Below are 26,542 nucleotides of genomic sequence, written 5' to 3'. Positions count from 1 at the left end.
ACCCACATGCCACCAACTGTGGGGCATTTATGGGATTTGGAAAGCTGCCTGGGATTTTAAGGATTTCATTTTTTTGAAAGGTATGAAGGCTCTGAACAATGAACAGTTTGGGCTGGGGTAGGCATAAAGTTGAGGTTTAGTAGTCACCCATGAGCTCTTAACAAGGTGTGTATTCCACTAAAAATCATGGAGTAGCCTGTTTCTGGCTCTGCTCAGTCATGACAAAAACGGTCATCTTCAACTACTTCCCTGACTTCTCTCGACTTTTCCCCTTTAGACAGTCTGTCCATTGACCATTATAAAGAATCAACTCAAATATTTATCATATTTCAAATATAGCAGTCACCATCTTATCCTCAGGCTGTGTTCTAAGTCTTTTTTGGGGGAAGCCTGAAACCATAGTATAGAACTATAGAACCTGACTGCTGTCAGTCACAACATATTTGCTCATCTTCTACCATAAATGTAATACATTTTCTTTCTTACCTAAGCACTTATCACACACTGTGGCTGTAGGTTTTGCAGTTTGAGGTGTGACAGCAAAATTACCACAAATGTGTTTTTCCTCCTACACAATTTCAAAGAAGATTCATTCTTACTGTAGATCTTGGCAATCTCAGCATATCTTTTTTTCTTGCCAGAACCTCCAGTTAAGAACTTATTAGAATGTGTCTCTGATAATGGTTTGGCTGTTTCCCCACCCAAATATCATCTTGAATTGTAGCTCCTATAATCCCCATGTGTAGTGGGAGGGGCCTGGTGGGAGTTAATTGAATCCTGGGGGTGGGTTTTTCCCATGCTGTTCTCATGATGAATAAGTCTCACGAGATCTGATGGTTTTACAAAGGGTGGTTCCCCTGCACATGAGTCTTGCCTGCTGCCATGTAAGACATGCCTTTGCTTCTCCTTCACCTTCCACCATTGGCTGTGAGGCCTCCCCAGCCATGTGGAACTGAGCCCACTTAACCTCTTCATAAATTACCCAGTCTTGGGTGTTTTATAGCAGTGTGAAAATGAATTAATAGTCTGTTTTTCAGAGACATGAGCAGAGGGCCAATATCTTTAGAAATATAGAACACTTAAAAATTAAGTCTTATAGGAGCTAGCAAGGTTTTGCCAAATACAGATTCACCCAAAAATGTCAAGTGGCACTTTGGAATGGAGTGAGAGTGGGCAGGCAGAATTATCTGAAATTAAAACAGAATCTAAACTCCAAACTGTGGGAGTCAGTCTTGGCTTGTAGCAACCAAGTCTATACCTACTGATGATATAAAAGGATTACTTCCTGAAGAGAGTTAAAGGGAAGGAAAAGAGAAAAAAGGTGAATAAGAAACATGGAAGATTAAGACACCACAAAATACCTCTTGTAAAAAGTCTAAATCATATAACTAAGTTCAACACTAGACAAAGTATTGTGACACATGAACAGGAGTTAGAAACTAATACCAATCAATACACTGTTCACAGGTCTGTTATTTTTTCCTTAGGTTGGGCTTGTATTAACAATTTTCCCAACTGATACAGCAGCACTTCTCAAATGCTTTCATGACATAACTATAAAAATTAGTGATATGGCACCTTGAGGAAAACTGATGTGGCTGTTGACAGCAAAATCAACTCCCCTGTGGCTGTAGCCAAATCGGGCACTGAAGACCAATCCAGGGTTGAGAGGATCAATATTGGTTGTAACCCATTTGTGGCTCTGGAGAAAGACACATCACACCAGAGGGAAGTGTATCCAATCAATCCAATAGTTGGAGAACTTTATTTATGGATGACATATAAAATATTCTTCAGGAATTATTGAATCACATTCTAAAGGCTGAAAAAGGTATAGGGTTTTCTGATTACCTGCAACAGAGGGTATAAAATATGTGTCCAATGGATTTGTGATGACTAGAAATCATAAGTAATGTGCCCATTAGCTGACTTAATGCATGAAAAGCATTCAATGATGATTGGGAAGCAAAAATTTAGTAATAAGACCACCTTCTTTTCCCCATTAGTAAAATAAATGTTAGGAAGTTCAATTTTCCTAATGTTTAAATATCTTAATGTGCTCTGGTGAAAACTTTAGAAAATGCATAACTTGTATTACCCTCACTTTTTTCTTCTCTACCAATTGCATTATTTCCATCATTTTTCTTATGTCTCCTTTATTCGTACTGAATTCAATATTCTGTAGTACACGTAAGACAAATAATTCTGAAAAACACTTAACCTAAGTGACAAATGCCACTTTTGTGAAAATAGAAGATAGGAGAAAGTAGAAGGAAAATCTCTTGGGACCCAAACTCACTAAGCCAAAGGGAAAAGTCAAGCTTGGGAACTCTGTCATGCAAAACTATATTCCATATCTGTACCTGACTGTATGGCTACAGATTCCATACTGTTCCTGAATGGACAGCTACACAGGTAGGCTACATACCTCCCCAAGGGACCTCCCTCACAATCTGCTAGCAAGGAAATTCCTGGCTGGCCCAAAGATCTTTCCCTGAAAACCATTCTGTTGAATGTCATGCTGACAATGTAAATGAATGGCTTATCTTGACAGGCAGTAGACAGGCCTGGGAGTCATCCCTCCACTCCCCTGAAACAAATGCATATTTGACTGCTTCCTCTATTGTGCACCTTATCTTATATACAATCCAGATTCACTGAGCAGGAGATGAACGCCCAGTTGAGTGTTCCTCTAAACCCTCTCCTGTCACATCTAAAGTGCGAATTCAGTCAACACTGATTAAAGCCTGGAAAGAAGGAAACTACTTCATTTATTCACACTTCCTTTTTCTTTTTTCCTCTAATGCCCACTGTTTCCCTTTTAAATATTGAAGTCTCCCAACCGTCTTTGGAAGAAGCACAAATCTCAGATGCTCCTGTCATCTTGTGTTCCTTTTTCCCAGGTGCATCCTCAACCTTGGCACCAGAAACATCTACATTGATTGAGACTTGGCTCCAATGCTTTTTGATTCACACTTATTTATAACTTTAAAGATTTCTCCCCAAACAAAAGAGGCTAGTGACTTTTGAGAAAGAGCTTTTTTAGTTTGTCATAGCCTCTATTTCTAAAGAAATTTAAAATCTAATTTTCAATTTAGAGCGAGGCTCTTATCCCCACATCACTGCCTTTAAAATCTCTCTGGAGAGATGCCAAGATTCAGTAAGACATTTTCATGATGAAATACCAAGAAACGATTCCAGTCCTTCACTTGGGAAAACAATGCACCCTCTGCAAGAAAGGACAGGCTGCTTCTAAAGTTCATGGTAAACCCAGTCAACTTGGATTAATTGCTAACCCAGGAATTCTTCCTGGGGGATGTGGGACTCTTAGTGAAAAGACTTTTTGACCTAGCCTCACCCCTACACAATGTATTTAAGAAGTCTGACATTCCACTACTGCTTTAGAAAGACTTGGACCCAGCTTCTGAGGTAGGATCCTTAGATCTTCATGAAAAACAGAACATCACCCAGATACTGGGATGTTTTCTTCAGGTATTACTCTGTAACTATTAGAAGGCCACGTTACTACTGTGAGCTTATCTGCTAATAACTGAGGCAGTGGTCTTCTCAAGATTAAGCATAAATAACATATATTCACTATCTGGCAAGCAGACAACTGGAAAAGGGCATTTAGTATGAAACGTGGGAAGCTAAGGGAAATCTAATAGTTCAGAAGAACATGAATAGATTTACTGAAGGAAAATGGCATGTAAGAGCCGACAGTTGGAAGAATGTGCTTGGTATTCACAATGAGAAAGTTTCAGACTTAATTGGTAGCAGGGGTGCATACTATTGGATAAGCATAGATTGCCCTCTGAATATCTTGTTAAAATTTTAATTTACATTTTAAGTTAAATGATTGTTCCGTTCATATGCATTTAGGTGTGGCTGAAGACTTCATGCTTGGAGGGAAATTATGATTTTATTCTTTATTTCATTTTAACCTCCTTCCTCTTTTATTTAACCCATAAGGCATCCACGTGTGCCTTAAGATAATCTTTTTTTTTTTAATAAAACTATTAGAGGTCTCGTAGAAGCCATCTTAGCATGGCATATAAAAGCCTGTTGAGCTGAGTAACTGGAGCCTAGGGGGAGATGTGGACATGTTGGAAGCTCAGACTGTAGGGGTATAATAATGAGTGCATTGTGTTTATAGCTGCAGGTGTCTGCCCCTTGCTTCAGCTCACCTCACCTCACCACTGCTGTTCCTGTGTAATCCTCCATGCCCTCACTCTCCATTTCCTCTTCCATAGCGTTAGTAGGGTGGACTAGATGGGCCAACCTCAGCTCGCCTCACCTCATCTCACCTCACCACTGCTGCTCCTGTGTAATCCTCCATGCCCTCACTCTCCATTTCCTCTTCCACAGCGTTAGCAGGGTGGACTGGATGGGCCATATGCCAGATCCTTTGATTTCTATTTGCCACCACACGAACTGACACTGCTGCCCAGAAGCATTCCCCTGCACATCCACATCACAGCCCTCCTGCTGGCAGCTTGGAATTTAGACCTTTTACTCTCAATGCTCCAGGAAACTAGATGTACTTCTTTCTTTCTAGTCCATTGGTGATATCCTTGACAATGTAGTTTAGGTAAGTTGGCATGTAGCATTAAAACCTGTATTCATCAAACTGAACTAATTTCTGGCATAGTAAGTGTTCAATAAATGTTCACCTACATGCCATTATAGTGCTGATTTTGTTTTGTTTTTTTTTTAAGCCAAGCAAACCTCTTCTATCTTATGCCTAACTTTCCACACTGAAAATTTCCAAATTGTCAGTTGGGATGGGAGGGAAAGTAGACTACTTTTCCACGAATGAAAACAGTTACCATTTAAATAGGCAGATAAAGGGGGGTGGTAACTAAGGCAGTATGTAATTAGAACTGGAGATAAGGTAAGGGAAAAGAGAAATTCACATCATTGGATACTACGTTGCTGTGGAGAGAAGGGGATAAAATCTGATTAATGTAGGAAGCAAGGTCCAAATGCATTCATTCATAAAAGCAGACGGAGTACAGGAGTAGCTTGTGTAGGTAGAAGAAGAAAAGGAGTTCCTGGCCAAAGCCCACTGTGGCTATGAACACTTATGAGTAGCAATTAATATTAATCTTGCTTTCAAGACTAAAACTGCCAGGTGGATCTTTCATAAGTACCTTATTTCAGCATGTAACTTTCTGACTGAAACAACTCCCATTTGCACCTTATTTCTCGACGCTGAGTTCTGGTCTCTCTGCCTTCACTTTCCAGCCGCACTCCACCCCACACACCTCAGCTCTCCACGGGCTCTTCAGCTGTAGTTAGACTGGACTCTCCCCTCTCTCTTCCACCCCTAGTGCCTGCTAATTCCCATTTTCGAGCCTTTTGACATTATTTACATTGTCTCTGATCATGTCCTCTCTCCTTCAGTCTCGAGTTTCGGAATCAGACCGGTTTCCCTCTCTACTATTGCACTGTTTAACTGAACTGACTCCTGTCTTCTCCTGGTTCTTGTGATCCACTATTTTCAAAGCAGTGATCACTTAGATGCTCTTCAAAAGTTTCATGCTTTAAGATCCTTTCAGTCTCTAGCCCTAGGGTTGAACCTTTGAGGTAAAGAATTCTGACATGGTATTCCTCTCTTTAACACTTTCATTTCCATAGTTTTAGTTAACCTGCAATCCGCCAGGTTGCTATCTACCATGTGTAAAAAATATTAAATGAAAAATCTCAAATTTTAAATTGCCCACCATTTTGAGTAGTGTGGTGGAAATATCATCCCTCTGTGTAGTTGATTCACACTGTCTATGCTACCCCGAGTCATTCAGTAGCTGTCTAGGTTATCAAATCGACTGTGGCGGACTCAGTGCTTGTGTTCAAGTAACTCAGTTTTTCTTAATGGCCCCAAAGAGATGGAGTTAGTGAAGCTGGCGATTTAGATGTGCCAAAGAGAGGCTGTAAGGTGCTTGCTTTAACTAAAAAGGTGAAAGTTCTTGACTTAAGGAGAGAGAAACCCTCATAAGCTGACTTTGCCAAGATCTATATTAAGAAAAACTTTATCTTTGAAATCATGAAGGAAAAAATTATGCAAGTTTTGCTGTCACATCAAACTGAAAAAGTTATAGCCACAGTATATTGTCTTAGGTATTCTATTTTATTATTGTTAATCTCTTACTGTGCCTAACTTATAAATTCAACTTGATCATAGGTATGTATGCATGGGATAAAATATGGTATATATATAGGGCTCAGTACTGTCTGCAGTTCCAGATATCCAGTGGGGGTCTTGAAAACTGTCTCCCACTGATAAGGGGAAACTGTACCTTTGTCCACTACTCAAACTGATGCATAGCATCTTCTGGTTTGCTATGACTTCATGTATGTAAAACTTCTAAAGTACCTGGCACACGTAAAGCCCTATTGGTTTATGGTTTGGGGAATACCAAACTTCCTGTTTCTCTTCCTCCGTCTCTTAGTGCCTTCCACACCATTATCTTCTCTCATAAGCTTTAATCAAAGCAGAAAGATCCCAATATACTATCCTTGGCCCCCTTTTTCTCATTCAGGAACAAATAATCGATGACTCTTAGAGCTATGTGGCACTTAGGATTAGTAACATGTTGGTGACATGCCATTCTTTTACTGAAAGAACACTGAGGTCTGGAGAAGTAACTATGCGTGTCATCCCCAGAGCAATTTGACAGCTGAGCAAAGCACAATGGCATTAGCTGTTATTTGTGGCTAAACACCTTTAAAAAGTCCCCAATATATTTTCATTTTTAGAAATCCCCACTTTAGACTTAAAATGATCTGCTTCTATGAGGATTTTTGATATGATACATTAATCAAACTTAACTATGTGCCCCTTAAGAATATTGTCAGTTCTATCAATCTTCATAGCTCACCCAGTGCTAGGTGAGTGTTTTGAACACGGAATGTGTTTGTGCTTCAGGCATTCTGTCTCTAAGGATGGAATGGAAAACCCTTCCCTTTCAAGCTTTACAGGTACGTTGTGTCAAGTGGAGAAGATCAGTTCTGGTTAGCAGCTTTATTGCCACAGAAAGGACACTGGCAGATACTTCTCATAGCTCTAGTCATGCTGAATTCCCAGAAAGGGGTGTCAGAATGAATTGCTCTAAGCTCTTCTCCCTGGTAGAAGAACCTGTGACTTCTCTTGGAGATCTCTTCAATTTTCGGTGAGTCACCAATTGTTCTTGATTTCTATGGCTTCTCCCAGAACAACTCCAGGGCTGTTGTCCTGAAACATACAGCTTTGATCACCTGGCACCCTGCAGAGATTCTCCTTTCCCTCTTCTCCATGTGGCAGACCACAGGTAGAATAAATGCCTCTTGGCGAGCTCACTCATCCCTCATCCATCAGCCCCAAGTGTGCAGATAACAGATGTGGAGCTCCTGTGCTTGGTGTCCTCCACCTCTCGGCTTGATCTTCCCACCCTCCCATTCCTGCCAGATGATTATGTTGCAACACTGGGTGATGTTATAACTGGTCCTGGGGGTCAGGGGTTCTGGGTTATGTTCTAATCTGCACTGGGGAGAAATCATTCGCCGCCTTGAAGAGCCTGAAGCTTTGATCACGCAAATAAAAGCTTTTTCTTTTTCTTTTTCTTTTTTTTTTTTTTTTTTTGGAAAGACTAGTTGATGAAGGGGAACCTAAGTGTCTTAGAGTGGAGAATGATGATAGTGAGGGAAAGATGAGCTGATGGGGAATGGAATCTAGGATCTTGTATGTGTGAATAAGTCAAACCACACGTCGTAATGCTAAATAGCATCAACTCTAATGTTAAAATGTAGATGCTCGGAACCGATGTAAACAGAAGTAACTGATGACATGTTTTGTCCATAATGCAGATATTTTCCCTGTCTACTTGCAATGCCCAGTAGCCTATGGAATAACATTAGGCATGCATTTGAACATGTCACATTTGGTTCTAAATATTGGCTTCATTGAAATGGGTGAATTGCTCGTTTGTGCCAAGCAGTGTAGTTCTGCTCTTTAGCAGGGCCTTTTCCCTACACATATCCCCACCCACTCACAGATGCACACACCACACATACCATGCTCACACACTCACATATGAACACACTACACACACATGTACGCACAACGCTCACACTCACAAGGAACCTTTTTTTTTTTTTTTTTAACACGGTCTCGGTTGTATAAAAATGAGGTGGCTAAAATCATATCTTTCTCCTGTTTCAGCTTTTTTACTCTCCTCTTCTGGGATCCTACAGTAAGATAAGATCTAGGGGTTGAAAACGTTCTTATCCTTTTATCATAGACATTTGAGGCAATAGTGTTTTACCTCCTCTTTGAATACCTTGTGGAGTCTGATTATTTACATGAAACAAAATGCTCTGGTTCATGTTCTGATTCAAAAGTAATTGGTTATTTTCTTAGGTCATTTTCATTTGTCTCATTCTTGCCTATTTCAGTTCCTCAAAGTATATTTTTAAAAGGATGATTGTCAGCTAACCTAACACTATAGTAATTAATGTATAATATCCATAATGCATTTAACTGAAACAATAGATGTGGGTCAAGACAAACTTACTGTCTGCGAGATTAATATTTTTAATTTCCAACAAGCTATTGCAAAAGCCACTGCAAATGGAATTGTATATTTAAATAGTCTCTTGACCCATGATTCGAAGCTGTGGCTATCACAAGAAAATCTTTCACCTGTTAGAGAAGGCAAAAGTAGCTGACTTTTATCACGCTTGACAGGAGTTAATATTTGATGCTCATGTATTTTTTTCTCCTCAACCAAGGTGTGACAAACTGAAGTTTCAGCACAGACCAACACAAAAATTGCTTTTTTTTCTTTCTCCCTTTGGATGTTTATTCATCTTTTAGGCCTATTACTCATATCTCCATCTCTGAGCACTAAGAAGGAAAACTCTACTGTTGCTATTGTTTTTGCTTCAACATAAGGAGAGTTTATTCCTTGATGCTTCAGGGACTGTAAATTTTGACTATTCTAGAACCAAAAGATTCAGATACATTTGTAGTATTGGTGGCCAAAACGTTTGACAGAAAACAAGTTTCTTCAGTAATCCTGTCACTAAAATGAGAAGAAATACACCATAATCTAATAAAGAAAAATTCATCCCTCAGTATTCCTGAACATATAAAAGGGACACACATTCATATTACTCAAAAAAGCATGAGAATTCATTCCATTGATTCAAGGAATGTTTGATACTGCTGTGTCGCGTCTGAGTTCAGAAATTTCTTTACCATCTATAGTTTTTGTTTTCTTGTTTTGTTTTTTGAGACAAAGTCTTACTCTTGTCCCCCAGGCTGGAGTGCAATGGCACGATCTCAGCTCACTGCAACCTCCGCCTCTCAAGTTCAAGCGATTCTCCTTCCTCAGCCTCCTGAGTAGCTGGGATTGTACAGGCACCTGCCACCATGCCCGATTAATCTTTGTATTTTTAGTAGAGATGAGGTTTCACCATGTTGGCCAGGCTGGTCTCAAAGTCCTGACCTCAAGTGATCTGCCTGCCTCGGCCACCCAAAGTGCTAGGATCACGGGTGGGAGCCACTGCACCCGACTGTAGTTATTTTTACTTATAAACATGAAGGATCAGTAAAATGGTAGAGAAATAAACTTGAGGAAAAAACCCAAGTAGCAGTGGATTACTAGGATGATATAATATTAGGACAGGTTCAGGATGCCACTCTGTCAGAGAAACTCTAACATTTTGGCTAAACAATATTTTAAGATGAGGTCATGATTGAATTCTATGATGCAGCATCTAAATTTTAGCAGAATTCATTGTCAACTGGAAAGACCACCAGGATAACGAAACTAAAGCCCTGTTCTGAAGCAGTTTGTGGTGGTTGTCCTGCCAGATTTATGATCCCCAAATTATTCTGTGAGAACAAATAGACACAAGTTCTCACAGCAGTCCATGCCTAAAAGATGAACTCCTTTTGCAGGACAAAAGTCTAACCACAAGACAGTGTGGCTCCTGACCCCAAATGAGGTCATCTGTACTGCTTTGATGTTCCTGACTTTCATAAAGCTGTTCAGTAACAACAGCAGCCAAAAAAGTCAGTTATCTAGATGTTTTCTATCAATTTAAGTCACAAATAGACGTCTGTGGATGACTCTAGTACAATCATCTCGATGGAGATGCAGAGAGCAATTTAAATTCAAATCATTTCGCTAGGCGAAATGGGAAATAAGGCACAGTAACCACCCTCAGAAAACTTTCAATCTAAAAGTGATAAGATTATGAAATGTATTCAGAAGATAGTTCAAAGTAAAAATCAGATTCTAAACCAGGTACTGTATGAATTACATTTACATCTCACATCCAGCCTGTAGAGTACAGAACTATGATGACCTTTCACAGATGATGAAATTGAGTTGAGAGATTAATTTTCTGTCCAATATCATACAGATCATTAATACTGAAACCCAGGATTTCAAATGATCCTGAAGTAGGTGATCTTTTCTTGATCTCACGCTGCTTCTGACATACTATTCCTGGTGGGCTCTTCCTACATATCAGGTCGTTAAATAAGCTGCCAGATTTCTGCCTTTACAGCCCAAGGAGCTTGTCATGGACCATGGGCATGGAGGGTCTTCTCCAGAACTCCACTAACTTCGTCCTCACAGGCCTCATCACCCATCCTGCCTTCCCCGGGCTTCTCTTTGCAGTAGTCTTCTCCATCTTTGTGGTGGCTATAACAGCCAACTTGGTCATGATTCTGCTCATCCACATGGACTCCCGCCTCCACACACCCATGTACTTCTTGCTCAGCCAGCTCTCCATCATGGATACCATCTACATCTGTATCACTGTCCCCAAGATGCTCCAGGACCTCCTGTCCAAGGACAAGACCATTTCCTTCCTGGGCTGTGCAGTTCAAATCTTCTACCTGACCCTGATTGGAGGGGAATTCTTCCTGCTGGGTCTCATGGCCTATGACCGCTATGTGGCTGTGTGCAACCCTCTACGGTACCCTCTCCTCATGAACCGCAGGGTTTGCTTATTCATGGTGGTCGGCTCCTGGGTTGGTGGTTCCTTGGATGGGTTCATGCTGACTCCTGTCACTATGAGTTTCCCCTTCTGTAGATCCCGAGAGATCAATCACTTTTTCTGTGAGATCCCAGCCGTGCTGAAGTTGTCTTGCACAGACACGTCACTCTATGAGACCCTGATGTATGCCTGCTGCGTGCTGATGCTGCTTATCCCTCTATCTGTCATCTCTGTGTCCTACACGCACATCCTCCTGACTGTCCACAGGATGAACTCTGCTGAGGGCCGGCGCAAAGCCTTTGCTACGTGTTCCTCCCACATTATGGTGGTGAGCGTTTTCTACGGGGCAGCCTTCTACACCAACGTGCTGCCCCACTCCTACCACACTCCAGAGAAAGATAAAGTGGTGTCTGCCTTCTACACCATCCTCACCCCCATGCTCAACCCACTCATCTACAGCTTGAGGAATAAAGATGTGGCTGCAGCTCTGAGGAAAGTACTAGGGAGATGTGGTTCCTCCCAGAGCATCAGGGTGGCGACTGTGATCAGGAAGGGCTAGCAGGGACTCCCAGAGTATCAGAGTGGTGACTGTGATCGGGAAGGATTAGCGGGGACTCCCAGAGCATCAGGGGTGGTGACTGATCAGGAAGGACTAGCAGGGACTAGTGCAAACATCTGCGGTGCTGCGGCCAATAACGCAGCTATTACAGAAAATATGGTATTGGTTCTGAAGAATGTTCAGTGTCACTTTCAGCAATTCAAAATTAACAGGCAAAATCATCCTGTTGCAAGGATTACTTAGGAACAGTAGCGAAGTTGGTGAGCATCTCCGCATTAGTCAACTTTGTTCAACTGGATTCACAAACATTTCCAGAGGGCATTCTCAGTCAAGTAGCCCTACAAACCATTCATGGCACGCCAAGCAGCTCTTGGAAGTGCCCATGTTAACATGTGACCATGAGTCCTTCCTGTCTGTATTGCTAACGTGTGATCATGAGTCCTGCCTGCCTGTATTGCTGACGTGTGATCATGAGTCCTGCCTGTCTGTATTGCTAACGTGTGATGAGTCCTTCTGTGTCTGTATTGCTAACGTGTGATCGTGAGTCCTTCCTGTCTATATTGCTAATGTGTGACCATGAGTCCTGCCTGTCTGTATTGCTAACGTGTGACCATGAGTCCTGCCTGTCTGTATTGCTAACGTGTGATCATGGGTCCTGCCTGTCTGTATTGCTAACGTGTGATCATGGGTCCTGCCTGTCTGTATTGCTAACACGTGATTGAGTCCTGCCTGTCTCTATTGTTAACCTGTGATCATGAGTCCTGCCTGTCTGTCTGTATTGCTGACCAACTTTTGAATGGAAATTGGAAGGAGCATTTGCCACCTCCTTGATGACTTAATTTCAAACATTCAATACAAGTAAAATATTTTCTAGTGCTAAATGTGTAGCAATTTTATTAGAAAACATTTAGGAAGGTGATACTATTTTTGGTTCCATGTTCTTAGTTACATTTTATGAATGTTATCACTTACCTCTGAAATTAAATACTTGCCCTGCCTTTATTCACATGGAGTCCAATATATTCCTGGAAATATTGATTCATTGATTGAAAATTGACTCTGCCATTAAGATTGTTACATGGCCAAAAACCTACAAAACTGCCATTTATGCTCAAATTGTTAATAGATAAATGTAGAATGAATAAACCAAGACATTTTATTAGCTAACTTAGTTCCCGTGGAATAAGTTGCTCAATTTTCTTATTCTCAACATCTTCATTGATATGCTGAAGACAAGTATTTTTGTAATTAGTTGGAGTTAGGTGTGGTGCTTTGATAGATGTGTAACTTTGGTGGAATATTAACTAAGCAAAGACTACACTGACCCCACGATTCATGTAACTTTAGTTTCTCCTGTGTGTAAGGTCCTGAAATATGAGACATAAAAAATATTGACGGACCTGGTGTTTATTTTCTTTGTTGATACGAGGCTTAGAAAACATTGGACAGAGCGGTTACATAGTTGACAAAGACTAAGCAAAGGTTACTCAGCCTTATGTTGTTCTAGTGTCAACACAGATAGAAGGAAAAATGTTTCCTCCATTGTTGCTGACGTAGATAAAGAATATTCCCTTCAATATGCTAACCCCTAGGTGGCTTTTCATTCAGAAGGTTCCTAATAATTTGATCTTTACCCTGAAATCAAACACATGGAAAAGAGATGGAAGAATGTCCTGGAGGGATTAAGTGAAGAAACAGACCAGGATTCATTTATGAAATATCCTCGGTGTTATTTCAATTCAGCTCCATTCACATTTTATTCTTTTGTGTCTCTGCACTAATGCCCTCCATATTCTCCATTCTCCTGCCTTAGCTAGCACCTTCTCGATCTTCCCTCTACAAAACTCCTTCAGTTCACATTGCATTTGTGCTCTATCCTGGGATATGTGTTTTCTTTCCCATTTCCTCAGTTGCTATGTATTAAAAATTAGGACTTTTATTCTTATGTTTCCAAGATTAATTCTTTGCATATTTAACTAGAATATTTAACTCTAACATTGACAGACATTTCAAGAGTATACCTGAAGCAATAAGCGAAATGCATTTTGACAAGTTTCTAGGGATATCATGGACATTAGTGATCGGGGCATGGAAGGAGGTGACTTATTCAATGTTTGAGTCTATTCAACAAATTTCATGGTGGTTACATCAACGTGTTCTTTTCCTGGTGATTTATCAATCTTTCCACTGTTGATGTGTGTGCTTTTCTGTTAGGCTCTACTTTAATACAACTTAAAAAAAAATTTTAATCTCATTTTACACATGGTGTGTATCCACTCCCTTCACACATAAAACTAGTCCCACTGTAAAAGGGAGTGACCAAGGATTTTTCCCCAGTCATCTCACCAAATTCTTACATAAGGTAATTTGTGGTCACCAGATTTGCTTCTTTATTAAAATAATATATAAATTTTAATATTGAGTAATACACATCATATTTAAGTTACTAAATTATCAGTTGTATACCTGAAACATGGCATGCACTAATCCAGGTAATGAGGAAAAAATAGAAGACTGTCCCTAGTTTTGAAAACATTTAACTACATTACCTGATTTTGATTCTGATCTTCACAAATTCTTATAAAGTATTTAGAGAAAGAATTAGCCCCATGGGAGATGAAGAAGCTGATGTTCACAGCAAATTATTGCCCCATTCCAGCAAGAGGCAGATGGGGCTTCAGAACCACGTCTTCTAACCTCTGGTCTGGTGTTTTGTGCCAAGCCATGATACTGATAAACAATTTACAAATGAGAGAAGTGGCTGGGCATGGTGGCTCACGCCTGTAATCTCAGCACTTTGGGAGGCCGAGGCAGTTGGATCACTTGAGGCCAGGAGTTCGAGACCAGCCTGGCCAACATGGCGAAACCCTGTCTCTACTAAAAATACAAAAAATTAACTGGGCGTGGTGGCACATGCCTGTAATCCCAGCTACTTGGTAGGTGAGGCAGGAGAATCGCTTGAACTCAGAGTGGAGGTTACAGTGAGTCAAGATTGTGCCACTGCACTCCAGCCTTGGCAACAGAGCAAGACTGTCTCAAAAACAAAACAAAGGGGAGAAGCACATGGCACAATGTGTATCTGCCAGCTTGTTAACCCTAATAATGACCTGGGGACAAAGGTCCCTTCAGAGCAACATGCTGATAAAAGCCATGTTCATTTGCTGTTGGATGCTAGTTAGGCTGGTCTAGCCAAGGACCTGATGACCCACATTGAGGGGTAATCAGATTCCCTGTGGGGTCTTTCTGCAGGTAAGGGATATGGATATAAAATTAACTTGCTTCTACAGACTTGTTTTATACAATAAACATCTATATGCAATATAAAATTGTAATAGAAGAAAGCATAAAGTCTACTTATTACATACCTTATTAACTGCTTTATTCAATGCTCAGGAAGATATCAGGCAAAAAGGAATGATCAGAGAAACTGAAGATAATTAGATAATTATTTAGCATAAAGGAAAAACGCAGACCTCTGTATCCACAAAAATTAAAAATCTGAAAAAGTGACAGAACATCCCTGTCAAGTTGGACAACTGACTTTAAATGAAGTGAAGTTCTGCTAAGAATTCTGACAATTCTGTGAAAACAAAATGACTGAAACGTCAGGTCCTGACTCTACAAAGAAGTTCCATACATAAAGCAATTGTATTCATAGACAACTTTATGGCATCGATAGGTTATTTAGTTAAAACAACAGGCTGATTCACACACAAATGATAAAAACCAGATGCATTTTTAAGCTTCTTTTTCAGCTGGGATTGTACTGAGGATGGATTTCTTAAACCTGGGTGACTCCCGTGACCATGTCACACACTTAGCAGCATTTCACTGTGTGCTTCCTTCTAAATCCCAGGTAATAAAGGCCAGGAAAATACTTGGTTTGCTTTGACTACATTCCTTTGGTTTATACAACTAGCTAAGAATATAAAATGGTAAATAAATACCTGTAGCTTCAACTCTGGTTGTTTCACATTGTATTTTTTATGAGCACTTTAAGCTTATTTGGTTTTGTTAAATCATCACATACCTAAAAACAAGAATTGTTAGGCATCGCAAGCACTTAAAACTTTTCCTAACATAGAATTTGCCCTTAATAAATACTAGTGTAATAAACGAATGAAAACTTTCACTTTAGAAGGCTTAGTACCTTCTAAAAATCTTTAAAAGAAAGTTTCCTTGGCATCTCGGGTTTGAAGAGACGACGTGGAAACTGAAGATTAACAAAGTTAGACTTTTATAGGCTCACATAGAACTGCATGTCAAGGGTGATGCTAGAAGCAAAAAAAAAAACACCAAAAAACTACTTAAATTATTTCCAGCTTCACTGATAAGTGATTTCTATTAACTATTTTAAAATTGGAGCTTATGTGAAAAAGTCATTGGCTTTTGCTAGATTCTTCATATAGTCCTTCTTTGAAGCAAACAGGAGGTAAGTCCCATTAGGGGCATTTCTCAAGGGTGGAAGCAGAAAACTCTTTCATGACTGAAAATTTAAATGCAAAGTTTAGGATTACATATGTCAGTTGATGTTGTCAAAATTGTTCTTTCCCTGGATTTCCAAAGTGTTTAATTGAAATGACCAGTGATGTTAATGAAGTATTCTATAAACTTGGAAAAATTAAAATCAGAAAACATGTTTGAACATAGTTAAAACCATATCTTTGGGCCTCAGCTTCTGAATAGCTGAAGTTTTAATGAAGAGAACTGCTTTTCTGTCTCCCTGTATAAACTGGGGAAACTACTTGAAAGGGAGAAAGGATAATATAATTTTGGCCCAAGGCAGGGATGCTTGCAAATAATGGCTTTGTGTAATTTGAAAGATTGTAAAAATCTTTACCTTTTTTGATTATTTCTAAGAACAAGATTATAATACATGCTGTGTATGTATTAAGGGATTTCATTTCAAAGATAGAGAATACAGTTGTAAGGAGATGATTATATAGGTTGAAAATATGCCACCTTTTCACTTAAGAATACAATGAACCTGCTATAGGATGAAGATGAACATAGATCACCTCACATTCCAGTGGTCACTTAGAATTCTATTATGTACTAAAACCTAAATTATTTAGTACATGTCCAGTTAGCAGACGCTTAGGTTACTTCCACTTTCTTATTGCAAATAACACCGGAATGGACTTTTTTAATAAATTGCCCACTCATCTGATTATTTCCATACTACACTTCCCTAGGAGCGGAAGCTTGTACGTATTTTTTAAACTCCTGGCATTGACTCAGTGCACGCTCTCAAACCAGAAAACAAGACAGAAAACCCATTGTAATTCCCACCAGCAGTTTGAGATTCCCCCCTTTATCCTCGATGTTGATACAACCCAGCTCTCATGTAGAAGTTCAAGTTGAATAAGATTGACTGAAACTCTATTTCTGCACTGTGGCCCTTCTACATTGCTATCCTATTAAGGAAGCTTCGTGGGATCATGCTCTAGGTAAGAATAAACTTAAGTTCAAGCCCTCTGCCTCTGGCAATCCAAGGCCCAGCTGAGTAGATGTGCATGTCATTGCATTTCATCGCCTTGCAAGAGTAAGAAGAATGTGACCCTAACTGTGCAGTGATAGACATGTATTAAGAGGGAGGGATGAGTTGTTTTCATGACTCCACCTAAGAGAGGCCTGAAAAGACCGCTTGATTGGCAAGAGGCCAAAAACAGCGTTAATTTTCCAAAGATGTTTAGTTCAATAACGAAGTCTAGATAATCTGATCTGGCTCAAGTTGTGAATAATCATTTCAGAAATGGTCCCTCAACTGTCCCCAATCCACAGCAGGGAGACTCTCCTGTAACTTAGTTCCCCCAAACCCCCAACTTTAGGGAACTTCTAAGAAAGTGATCTAGTGTGTTACAACAAAAGTAAACATCACCATAAGAATATAAAGTCTGACTACACAGTTGGCCCTTCAAATTATCTTTTAAAAAAATCTGTCCATTAGAGGTCTTCAGTACCTAGGAAAATATAGGATACGAGGACAATTATGTTGAAAAAAATTATCATAATTTAACTCATTGTTTCATAAATCATTGATAGGATCACTAGTACCATTTCAATTGATTCCACAAGGATTTAAACTCAGTTCACACTTCTGTAATTTTTCTTTTGAAATGAATTTGTTTTTCATGTAATTTTAAGATTCTTCAAGGGTCATTCTGTTTTTCTTTTTCTTAGGGTACATGTGATAACACATTCATATGATTTGTAAAGATCAATGTAATTGAGATATCCATTACCTTAAATATATATTTGTATTTTCTTTATGCTAGAAACATTGGAATTTTCTCCTTAAGTGAACTCTGCCACATTACAGAGATCTTCAAATCTCAGATCCCCAACAGGGAATAGTACGTACAGGGCTTCATGTTGACAGCGGTGATGCTGTGCAGGAAACATGCCTATTGAATGGGGCTTTATGATGTCTGCTGGGAGATGAGTCATTGCCCTCTGCAATTGCACAACAGTGACGTGTGTGAGTGGCATTTGTAAGACCTTTCTTGGGGTACATTTGATGAGATTTTTTTTATGTACCTCAGTATAAAGCCAGACACCTGCAGGCAGGTGTGTAATGACTGAGAATTGCCCAAGAGTTAGGGAGAATTTTGTGTTTCTGGAAAATTATTAACTTCATGTTGTCACTTTATTGCTTTGTTGACAACTTGTGATCAGAAATTCAACTTTTCCTTGGGTGTGTTTATGGCCTTTTACCCTGCATTCATTTAACTTCTCTTTGGCTGGTTGTAAACGGAAGTGATGCTCAAAGGGATATTATCTTTGGGGAGAAGTTAAGGGTAGTGGCAGAGAGCATGAAAAACAAAAGTTGAGTCCTTGAGCCTGGATCCAGCTCCTCCCACCTGACTCTGAGCCTCAGTTTTACCAGCTGTGAGATGGTGATAATTAGTGATCGACCCGTCGAGGTGCTGTGAAGAGCACGTGGAAACGTTGGCACACGTCCACGGTGCCTGAGACCCAGCAAGAAGCACTACACAAGTGCTGGCCAATTCATTATTGCAACATGTCTCAGTTTTGTTTAAAAGCTAAGTAAGAAAATCATTTATCAGCATAGAAGCTCCCTATGGCTGTGGTACCAAATGACCACAAAGTTCATAATATCACAGCCTGGAGGTCAGAAGTTGGAAACCGGTCTCACTGGACTGAAATCACGATGTTGGGAAGGCTACCTACTTTTCTATGAGGTTTTAGGAGATAATCTATTTCTTAGCCCTCTCCAGTTTCTAGAGACCATCTACATTCCTTGGCTTGGGGTCCCCTCTATCGTCAAACCCGGAGACCGACTGAGTCCCTCCGACCTGTTTTCATATCACGTCTCTGACTCTCCTTCCTCCTCTCTCCCATGTAAGGCCTTGGCATTTGCAATTGAGTCCAACAGCATAATTCAGAAGAATCTCCTCATCTCAGAGTTCTTAATCATACCCACAAAGTCTTTTTTGCCACTTAAGAGAGCATATTCATCGGTTCCAGACATTAGCACATGAGGACCTTTGCTGGAGGTGGAAGATGATTCTGCCCACATGTGGTTATATTTAACACTAAGTCTATTACAGTGTCGTTCAATTTAAGTAGCAAATTAATAAGCCCTATGGCATTATTGAAGACAATTCTGATCATAGAAGGCAGATGACATTTTGCAATAAATCATACACAATTTTATCTGTTTAACATAAGGTGAATTCTAACTAGATTAACATCTGCAGTACAATCTCTGGGTGTATAATAACACTTGAAGCTAAAGTTATCTTCAACCTATTAATTGGTACCTGAGTTGAAGAGCTGTCAGAGCAAGGACAGATTCAGAAGACAGAAGAAGTGGCAAGTCCCTCCTTTTTTTGTGAATTATGCTGACATCTTAATTACTCTATAAGTATTTTAAACCAGAGCGTAATTGTCTCAAATTTGTACTGTATATAAACCTTAATGATTTAGAAGTTGTATTGCTGTCTGATCTTAGAAACTTGTTATTTATTTTTCCTAGAATGAAGTTTTTTTTGATCAAATATTGGTGGATCCCATTTTTTTGTCTATTTTGCATTGAAGATAAACACAAGTGCCTAGCATTAAAAAAAATTATTTCTCTTCAGCACATTATATAAAATCAGGAGGTGTTTTGAAGGAATTCTAGAGGTATTCCTTAAAAAGCATAAAATAATTTGCATTTTTGCTAGCTGAATGTGTTTAAAAATGATTTATTCAAAGATTTACAATGTGCCAGTCGTATCTTTAGATGGTGAGAGTACAGTTAACAAAATAGGCACAAATCCTTATTCACATGAAGCTTACTTTCTAGCTTGAAGAGACACAAAACACAAGGTAGTGTCAGACGGTGTTAAGAAAAGTGAAGAAAAATAGTCATAGGACCTCTGAGCAGGTGGCTTTTGAGCAAAGCCCTGAAGTACATGAGGGGATGGATGGCCTTGCACGGTTGGAGGAGGAGCCCCAGGCAAGGGGAGCAGCAGAGGCAATGGCCTGGGCTCAGGGCTCTTGCAAAGTGGGGACAGAGGACAAGGAAGCCACCGTCGCTGCAGCCCAGGGACAGACAGACTGGAGTCGGCGGGAGATCATTTCAGAAGACAAAATGTTCAGAACGTGATGGGCCTTAATGTATGATGTAAAGCACAACTGCAGGGTTTCAAGCAGAAAGTGGCGTGGCGGGATGCACGGGTCCCGATGTGACTTTGATGGTTGTGCTGAGACTAGACTTGGAGGGATTCATGAGACAGCAGGGAGATCGTGGGAAAGTTCGTGGAACAACCAGGGTAAAATGTGTCATGATGGATTAAGCCAGGCACCTACTAGCTATGGACATGAGAAATATTATAGGTTTTTAATTGTTAATAAATAAGTTTTACTTATTCATTTCTTTTTTAGAAACAGGGTCTTGCTCTGTCACCCAGGCTGGAGTGCAGTGGCACAATCATAGCTCTCTGTAACCTCAAACTCCTAGCCTCAAGCAATTCTCCCAACTCGACCTCCTGAGTAGCTGGGACGACTGACGTGCACCACCACGCCTGGCTAGTTTTTTATAAAGACGAGCTCTGTTACCCAGGCTCATCTCAAACTCCTGGCTTCAAGTGATCCTTCCGCCCTGGCCTCCCTAAGTGCTGGGGTTACAGGCATGAACCACCACACCTGGCCTGTTTTTACTGTTTTATACATTTTGGATAAAATGTTTGAATTTGTTTAATATGACAAAGAGATGTGCTCTCTTCTCCTTAGTGTGGGTTAATTCTATTAGGAAGTTTTTGGAGTCTAATATAGAATGTTTCTTTTATATTTTTGGACTTTGAATTAGCAGAATATATTTTTAGGCAATATTTGTGTTCACTATCCTTGGGAAATGGAATAGAATTGAAACGATCAGGAGTGGATCAGGAGGCTAAGACTCACTGAAGTAGAGTTTTGACCACGGAGTATTTCTGGGAGGCCTGACAGAGGAGGCCACAGTCCTTAGCCCCTTTCACAGTAATATGAATATATCAATCAGAGGGAAATTGGGAGTAAGCCAATTTAATTTTGATGTTAGTAAATAACTTTTTTGTTTAGACTCTATTTGTACTGATTCTACTGGTCACTTTTCAAGGTCATAACAATTCTGGTACCTTTGTGAAACCAGATATGACTTCAGCATGGTAAAGGACAACCAGCTAAATTTGAATTTCAGATGTACAGTGAACCCTTTTTTTTGGTGTTAAGAACATTATGAACTTGCACTAAAACATTTTTTGATTATCTGAAAGTCAAACATAGCTGAGAATCCTGTATCTTTGCTAAATCTGGCAACACTAGATAGTGGAGCCAAGGTGTGTCTAGCAACATGTGAATGGGGGGAAACCCTGCAGCATCCGGGCTCCCCCGTTGATCGGACTTTCATTTTTACACAAATGTTTGAGACTCAAGCCACTGAGGCCTACCATGCCGGGGAGGAGGTGCTGGCGGGGAGAGGGGGGCGATTCTTACTACATGTATGGTTCTTTCTCTTGTCTAACAGTTAAATCTATCTTCCACCTGGTATGTTAAAGATAAAATTCCTTCTTAAACGGTGGCCTGTTGCTGTCACATTTCCATGTATCTGCTCCGTAGCTTTCTAAGCCTGAGTTTGGCTCTGGCCTCAGTTCTGGTAAGTGCTGGCAGACGTGTAGCTTGGTGAACCCTGCTCCTGTGTGTCTGCTGCTGACATAGCTTCAACCTACCAACATTTTCCTTTAATTTCCCTGCCCATTTCCCAAACCTACAGTAGCAATGGAGAGCAATGCAGGGAGTCAGCTTAGTGTCATAAACTGCTTTTTAAAAACTTAATTCTGGGAGCTTTTTGCAAATAGTTTTTTTTACCTTCTAATTTATCTGAAGAAAGATCTGCAAAAAGGTTAGCAAAACAGCACAAAGAACAGTGAGGAGTCCCAACTTTAGACATAAACAGTGGAATAATAGGCATCGAAGGCTTGGAAGAGTAGGGGGTGAAAGCGGAGCGAGGGGTGAGAAATTAGTAATGTGAGCACAACCTACGCTATTTGACTTACGGTTACCCTAAAAGACAAGACTCCACTATGCGATACATCCATGTCATGACACTGCACTTGTCGTCCTTAAACTTATACAAATAATTAAAAAGAAATAGAACAGAAACATGGGGCTTCGTGAATAAAACGTTCCCTAATAGTTATCCTAACCCTTCATTTCTTCAGTGATTTACTTCACTCCCCTTTATCCATTTGGTCAATGAATCACCCTTTTTTCCAACTAGTATTTACTTAACCCTACTATGGGCTGGATAACTTTCTGGATACAAGAAATGCAGCATGGACAGAACAGATATGGTTAAAACCCCATTCTTGGTGTAGCATACAGCAATTGTATCACGCAGTTACCATAACCTCCAGCAGCATGATGAACCATAGACGCAATATAGAAGGAGCTGTTCTCTGACAGGGAAATGCAGCCATGGTTTTTGCTTCATGATGTGCATGTTGGTCTGCCTGTTCTTCTCTAGCCTCTAGCCTGGAAGCTTCATCCTGACGGTACCCTCAGAAGTGTCACCTCTACTGCAGACCTTTCCCATCTTGACCGTGTTCTCTTGCCTCCTTCCTGGTCCTTGTGTCTTCCCGTTGCCCTGGGACGCTCGTGGGCCATATCAATGACGAACACATCATCCTCTGACTTCACCCTCCTGGGGCTTCTGGTGAACAGTGAGGCTGCCGGGATTGTATTTACAGTGATCCTTGCTGTTTTCTTGGGGGCCGTGACTGCAAATTTGGTCATGATATTCTTGATTCAGGTGGACTCTCGCCTCCACACCCCCATGTACTTTCTGCTCAGTCAGCTGTCCATCATGGACACCCTTTTCATCTGTACCACTGTCCCAAAACTCCTGGCAGACATGGTTTCTAAAGAGAAGATCATTTCCTTTGTGGCCTGTGGCATCCAGATCTTCCTCTACCTGACCATGATTGGTTCTGAGTTCTTCCTCCTGGGCCTCATGGCCTATGACTGCTACGTGGCTGTCTGTAACCCTCTGAGATACCCAGTCCTGATGAACCGCAAGAAGTGTCTTTTGCTGGCTGCTGGTGCCTGGTTTGGGGGCTCCCTCGATGGCTTTCTGCTCACTCCCATCACCATGAATGTCCCTTACTGTGGCTCCCGAAGTATCAACCATTTTTTCTGTGAGATCCCAGCAGTTCTGAAACTGGCCTGTGCAGACACGTCCTTGTATGAAACTCTGATGTACATCTGCTGTGTCCTCATGTTGCTCATCCCCATCTCTATCATCTCCACTTCCTACTCCCTCATCTTGTTAACCATCCACCGCATGCCCTCTGCTGAAGGTCGCAAAAAGGCCTTCACCACTTGTTCCTCCCACTTGACTGTAGTTAGCATCTTCTATGGGGCTGCCTTCTACACATACGTGCTGCCCCAGTCCTTCCACACCCCCGAGCAGGACAAAGTAGTGTCAGCCTTCTATACCATTGTCACGCCCATGCTTAATCCTCTCATCTACAGCCTCAGAAACAAGGACGTCATAGGGGCATTTAAAAAGGTATTTGCATGTTGCTCATCTGCTCAGAAAGTAGCAACAAGTGATGCTTAGAGAGTCACTGCCCAGAGGATAAGGCTTCCTAAGGACTTCCTCCATTTGCCCTGTTTCCCTGGAGATGATCTGCTCAGCTATCAACCTACACTTACTACTGGCAGTTAAGATGATTCACCCTGTCTGGATTCTTGCTCCTCGGGAGCAAGGGAAAGATGTTTTACTGTTATGCAGAGATCTTTCAGTGAAGTATCAAAAATGGTTTATTATGAAGTTAAATAATTTATCTAGTCTTTTTATTTAGGGAAGAAAAACCCCAAATATTAGAGTTCACAGCAACCTTTCACTCTGAACTAGATCTCCTTCACAACATTTGTTCATGTTTAAACAACACAATGAAAGAAACCTGCAAAAGCTATCAAATGTTTACAGTCAAATTCTGTGATTAGCAGCAATAGAGTAAAAGAATGCCAATACACAAGTGGCAAAGAAGATAAAAGCACACACTTTAGTCGTGTTTTTTATTTTAGTATTAACCCCAAGTAACTATAAGCTCTAATATTATCGTTGAATCTCTGACCCTCTTGAGTACAGACAGCAGCTATCAAATACTAGGCCACAATAAATGGTGGTGAATTGAACAGAACTGAGTATGAATGGGTGGAGGTTCAGCATGACACAGCTACTCACAGGGAATAGACTCTAACACTTAGCATCAAAGAACATGACTGCCACTTTCCTTGAGGATGTATTAACAGGATACCAGGTTCGTTAACATCCATGGCCAGAAACTTCCCTTTTCCAAGTTCTGTGATTCAACAGCAACACTTAAGGCACTTTGAGACTGACTGAGTGGGGTGGGAAGTCCCTGGAGTTTTCCATGCGGGTGTTACATGATAACAGACACGTTTTTAAAGCATCACTATGCCTACAGTGTAGGAAAATAGAACAAAGGGCAAACATGGATACAGGAAGACAATTGAGGTTTCAGAGATGAGAAACAAGGATGGCTTGTGTAGGGTGTGGACACAAAGGATTTGGCTCATGGATTTGGCGTGTGTTAGCAACAGGTGTAGAGTGAAGGATAACTTATTGGTTTGGGCCCAAGTGAATAAAAAAATGGAATATTGATATTTGGAAAACTTGTCGGTAGCAGAAGTCAAGAATTCACTTAAGATAATTTGGAAATATCTATTAGGTATTTAAGCTAGGCCGGGTGCAGTAGCTCATACCTGTACTCCCAGCACTTTAGTGGAGACCAAGGAGGGTGGATTGCTTGAGCTCAGGAGTTTGAGACCAGCCTGCCAACATAGCAAAACCCCATCTACCAAAAACACAAATATCAGTTGGATGTGGTGGCACATGCCTGTAGTCCCAGCTACTTGGGAGGCTGAGGTGGGAGGATCACGGGAGGCTGAGAAGTTGAGGCTGCAGTGAGCCGTGATGGCACCACTGTGCTCCAGCCTGACTGGCAGAGAGGCCTTGTCTCAAGATAAATACATAAATACAGAAAGATATTGAAGCTATATGTAAAGTCAATTGTACTTCAGATTAGAGTTCTGAACATAAAGCATACATTTAATAATCAGAGTACGAAGAGCATTTAAAAACAGGTTTTTTGAGAGTTTTCTTAAGAGAAAGCTTGAGACTGAGATCTGAGGCAGCTGGCGTCACATGAAAAATTAGAAAGATAGGGTTTTATGAGGTTAGAAGAAATCTAAGACAAAGTGTTTAAAGAAAGTAAAAGCAACTGCAACAAGTGCAGTCTATGGTTGAAATAAGTGAGATTTGGTTACTGTATTTAGCAACATGAAAGGTTACTTGTAACCTTAGTGACCATTTTTAATGGAGATATGCTTAGAGATGATTCAGGGTAAAATCAAGGGGGAGGAAGTGGATAAGGTAAGTTGAGTATGAATTTTTAGATTTTTTTGTAAAGGAAATGGAGTATAACTAGAAAAACGTGATACCAATGTGTTTGATGTTAATGGTGCTGTCATGTGATATTGAGTATGAAGTTCAAAGGAATAATTCAGTACAAAAAGAAAATCGATATATGAGAAATGGAGGAAAGTTTCAGAAAGATGGCCTTTGAGAGTGGCCGAAAGCACAGAAACCAGTTTAGAAGTGGAGAGTTTGAACTTTTGTAAGAGCATGGCCAACTCAGTGACAATAGCAGGAGGTCAGGCAGAGCGTGTGTTATAACTAAGATCCCTTCCGATGGTTTGTATCTTCTCGGTGCAGTTAGAATCAATGAGAGCGTCTATGAGTAAAGATCAGGGTGGTCCCGTCAAAAGTTTGAGAGGAGAAGAGAATCATCTTGGAGAAGAGGTAAGTTAATAAGCTAGTAGAGACATCTGGGTTGTAGGACAACCTTCGGACTCCCCCTCCTTTGCATTGAATTTATGAATTTAGCACAGCACATTTGTCAGACGATTCATGATGTGTGTTCGGGATGGTGGCCAGAAAATAGTAGGCACTCAATATGTTAACTAGAATTATGTTAAAAACAAGGACAAAATAACAGCAGCAACTGCTGTTACTACTACAAACTTATTCCTTTGTGAATAAAGTGTGTCATATTTATGCTTTTCCAAGGCATATAATTTGCAGTATGTAATAGATGTTCAGTAGCTGTTTATTTCAATAAATTTGTCTCTTTGGGCAATTAAAAGTTGTATAGGCAGAATTCTTCATGGTGTGGAGTTTCTTGTATAATATGGCATGATTTTGCATTATAAGGTGACACTGTCACTTCATTTCAAAATGTTAATTATTTACGTTTAGAAGTTAAATTCCACCCTACTCCTAAAACATTCTCTCTGTAATCTTGGCTTTGGTGGTGGCTTCTCTGGTGATGGGTTCCCATTTAGCGTGGGAAAATGTCCCTGCTCTGAGTGTCCTAGTTGTAGTTGGCACCAAGAGGAGATGGGCACACAGAT

At 40.4% G+C, this 26,542-nt stretch overlaps 2 protein-coding genes across 2 annotated transcripts; both read left to right on the top strand.

Annotated features, from left to right (window-relative positions):
- The first annotated feature begins 4,559 nt into the window (after positions 1–4,559).
- Positions 4,560–13,482, top strand: OR2T35 (olfactory receptor family 2 subfamily T member 35 (gene/pseudogene)). The gene is made up of 2 exons (NM_001001827.2): positions 4,560–4,591; positions 10,558–13,482. Exon 2 carries the CDS (start codon positions 10,580–10,582, stop codon positions 11,549–11,551), a length of 972 nt encoding a protein of 323 aa, NP_001001827.1. The 5' UTR covers positions 4,560–4,591; positions 10,558–10,579; the 3' UTR covers positions 11,552–13,482.
- A 1,264-nt stretch (positions 13,483–14,746) lies between these two features.
- On the top strand, positions 14,747–26,281 carry OR2T11 (olfactory receptor family 2 subfamily T member 11). The gene is made up of 2 exons (NM_001001964.2): positions 14,747–14,800; positions 22,566–26,281. Exon 2 carries the CDS (start codon positions 22,710–22,712, stop codon positions 23,658–23,660), a length of 951 nt encoding a protein of 316 aa, NP_001001964.1. The 5' UTR covers positions 14,747–14,800; positions 22,566–22,709; the 3' UTR covers positions 23,661–26,281.
- The last annotated feature ends 261 nt before the right edge of the window (positions 26,282–26,542 follow it).

The sequence above is a fragment of the Homo sapiens genome, chromosome 1 (assembly GCF_000001405.40).
Source record: "Homo sapiens chromosome 1, GRCh38.p14 Primary Assembly".
Classification (NCBI taxonomy): domain Eukaryota; kingdom Metazoa; phylum Chordata; class Mammalia; order Primates; family Hominidae; genus Homo; species Homo sapiens.
This window is presented reverse-complemented; position numbering and strand designations above follow the sequence as displayed.

Coding starts and splice junctions, on each gene's coding strand:
- OR2T35 (NM_001001827.2), top strand. CDS start 10,580: ATGGGCATGGAGGGTCTTCTCCAGAACTCCACTAACTTCGTCCTCACA.
- OR2T11 (NM_001001964.2), top strand. CDS start 22,710: ATGACGAACACATCATCCTCTGACTTCACCCTCCTGGGGCTTCTGGTG.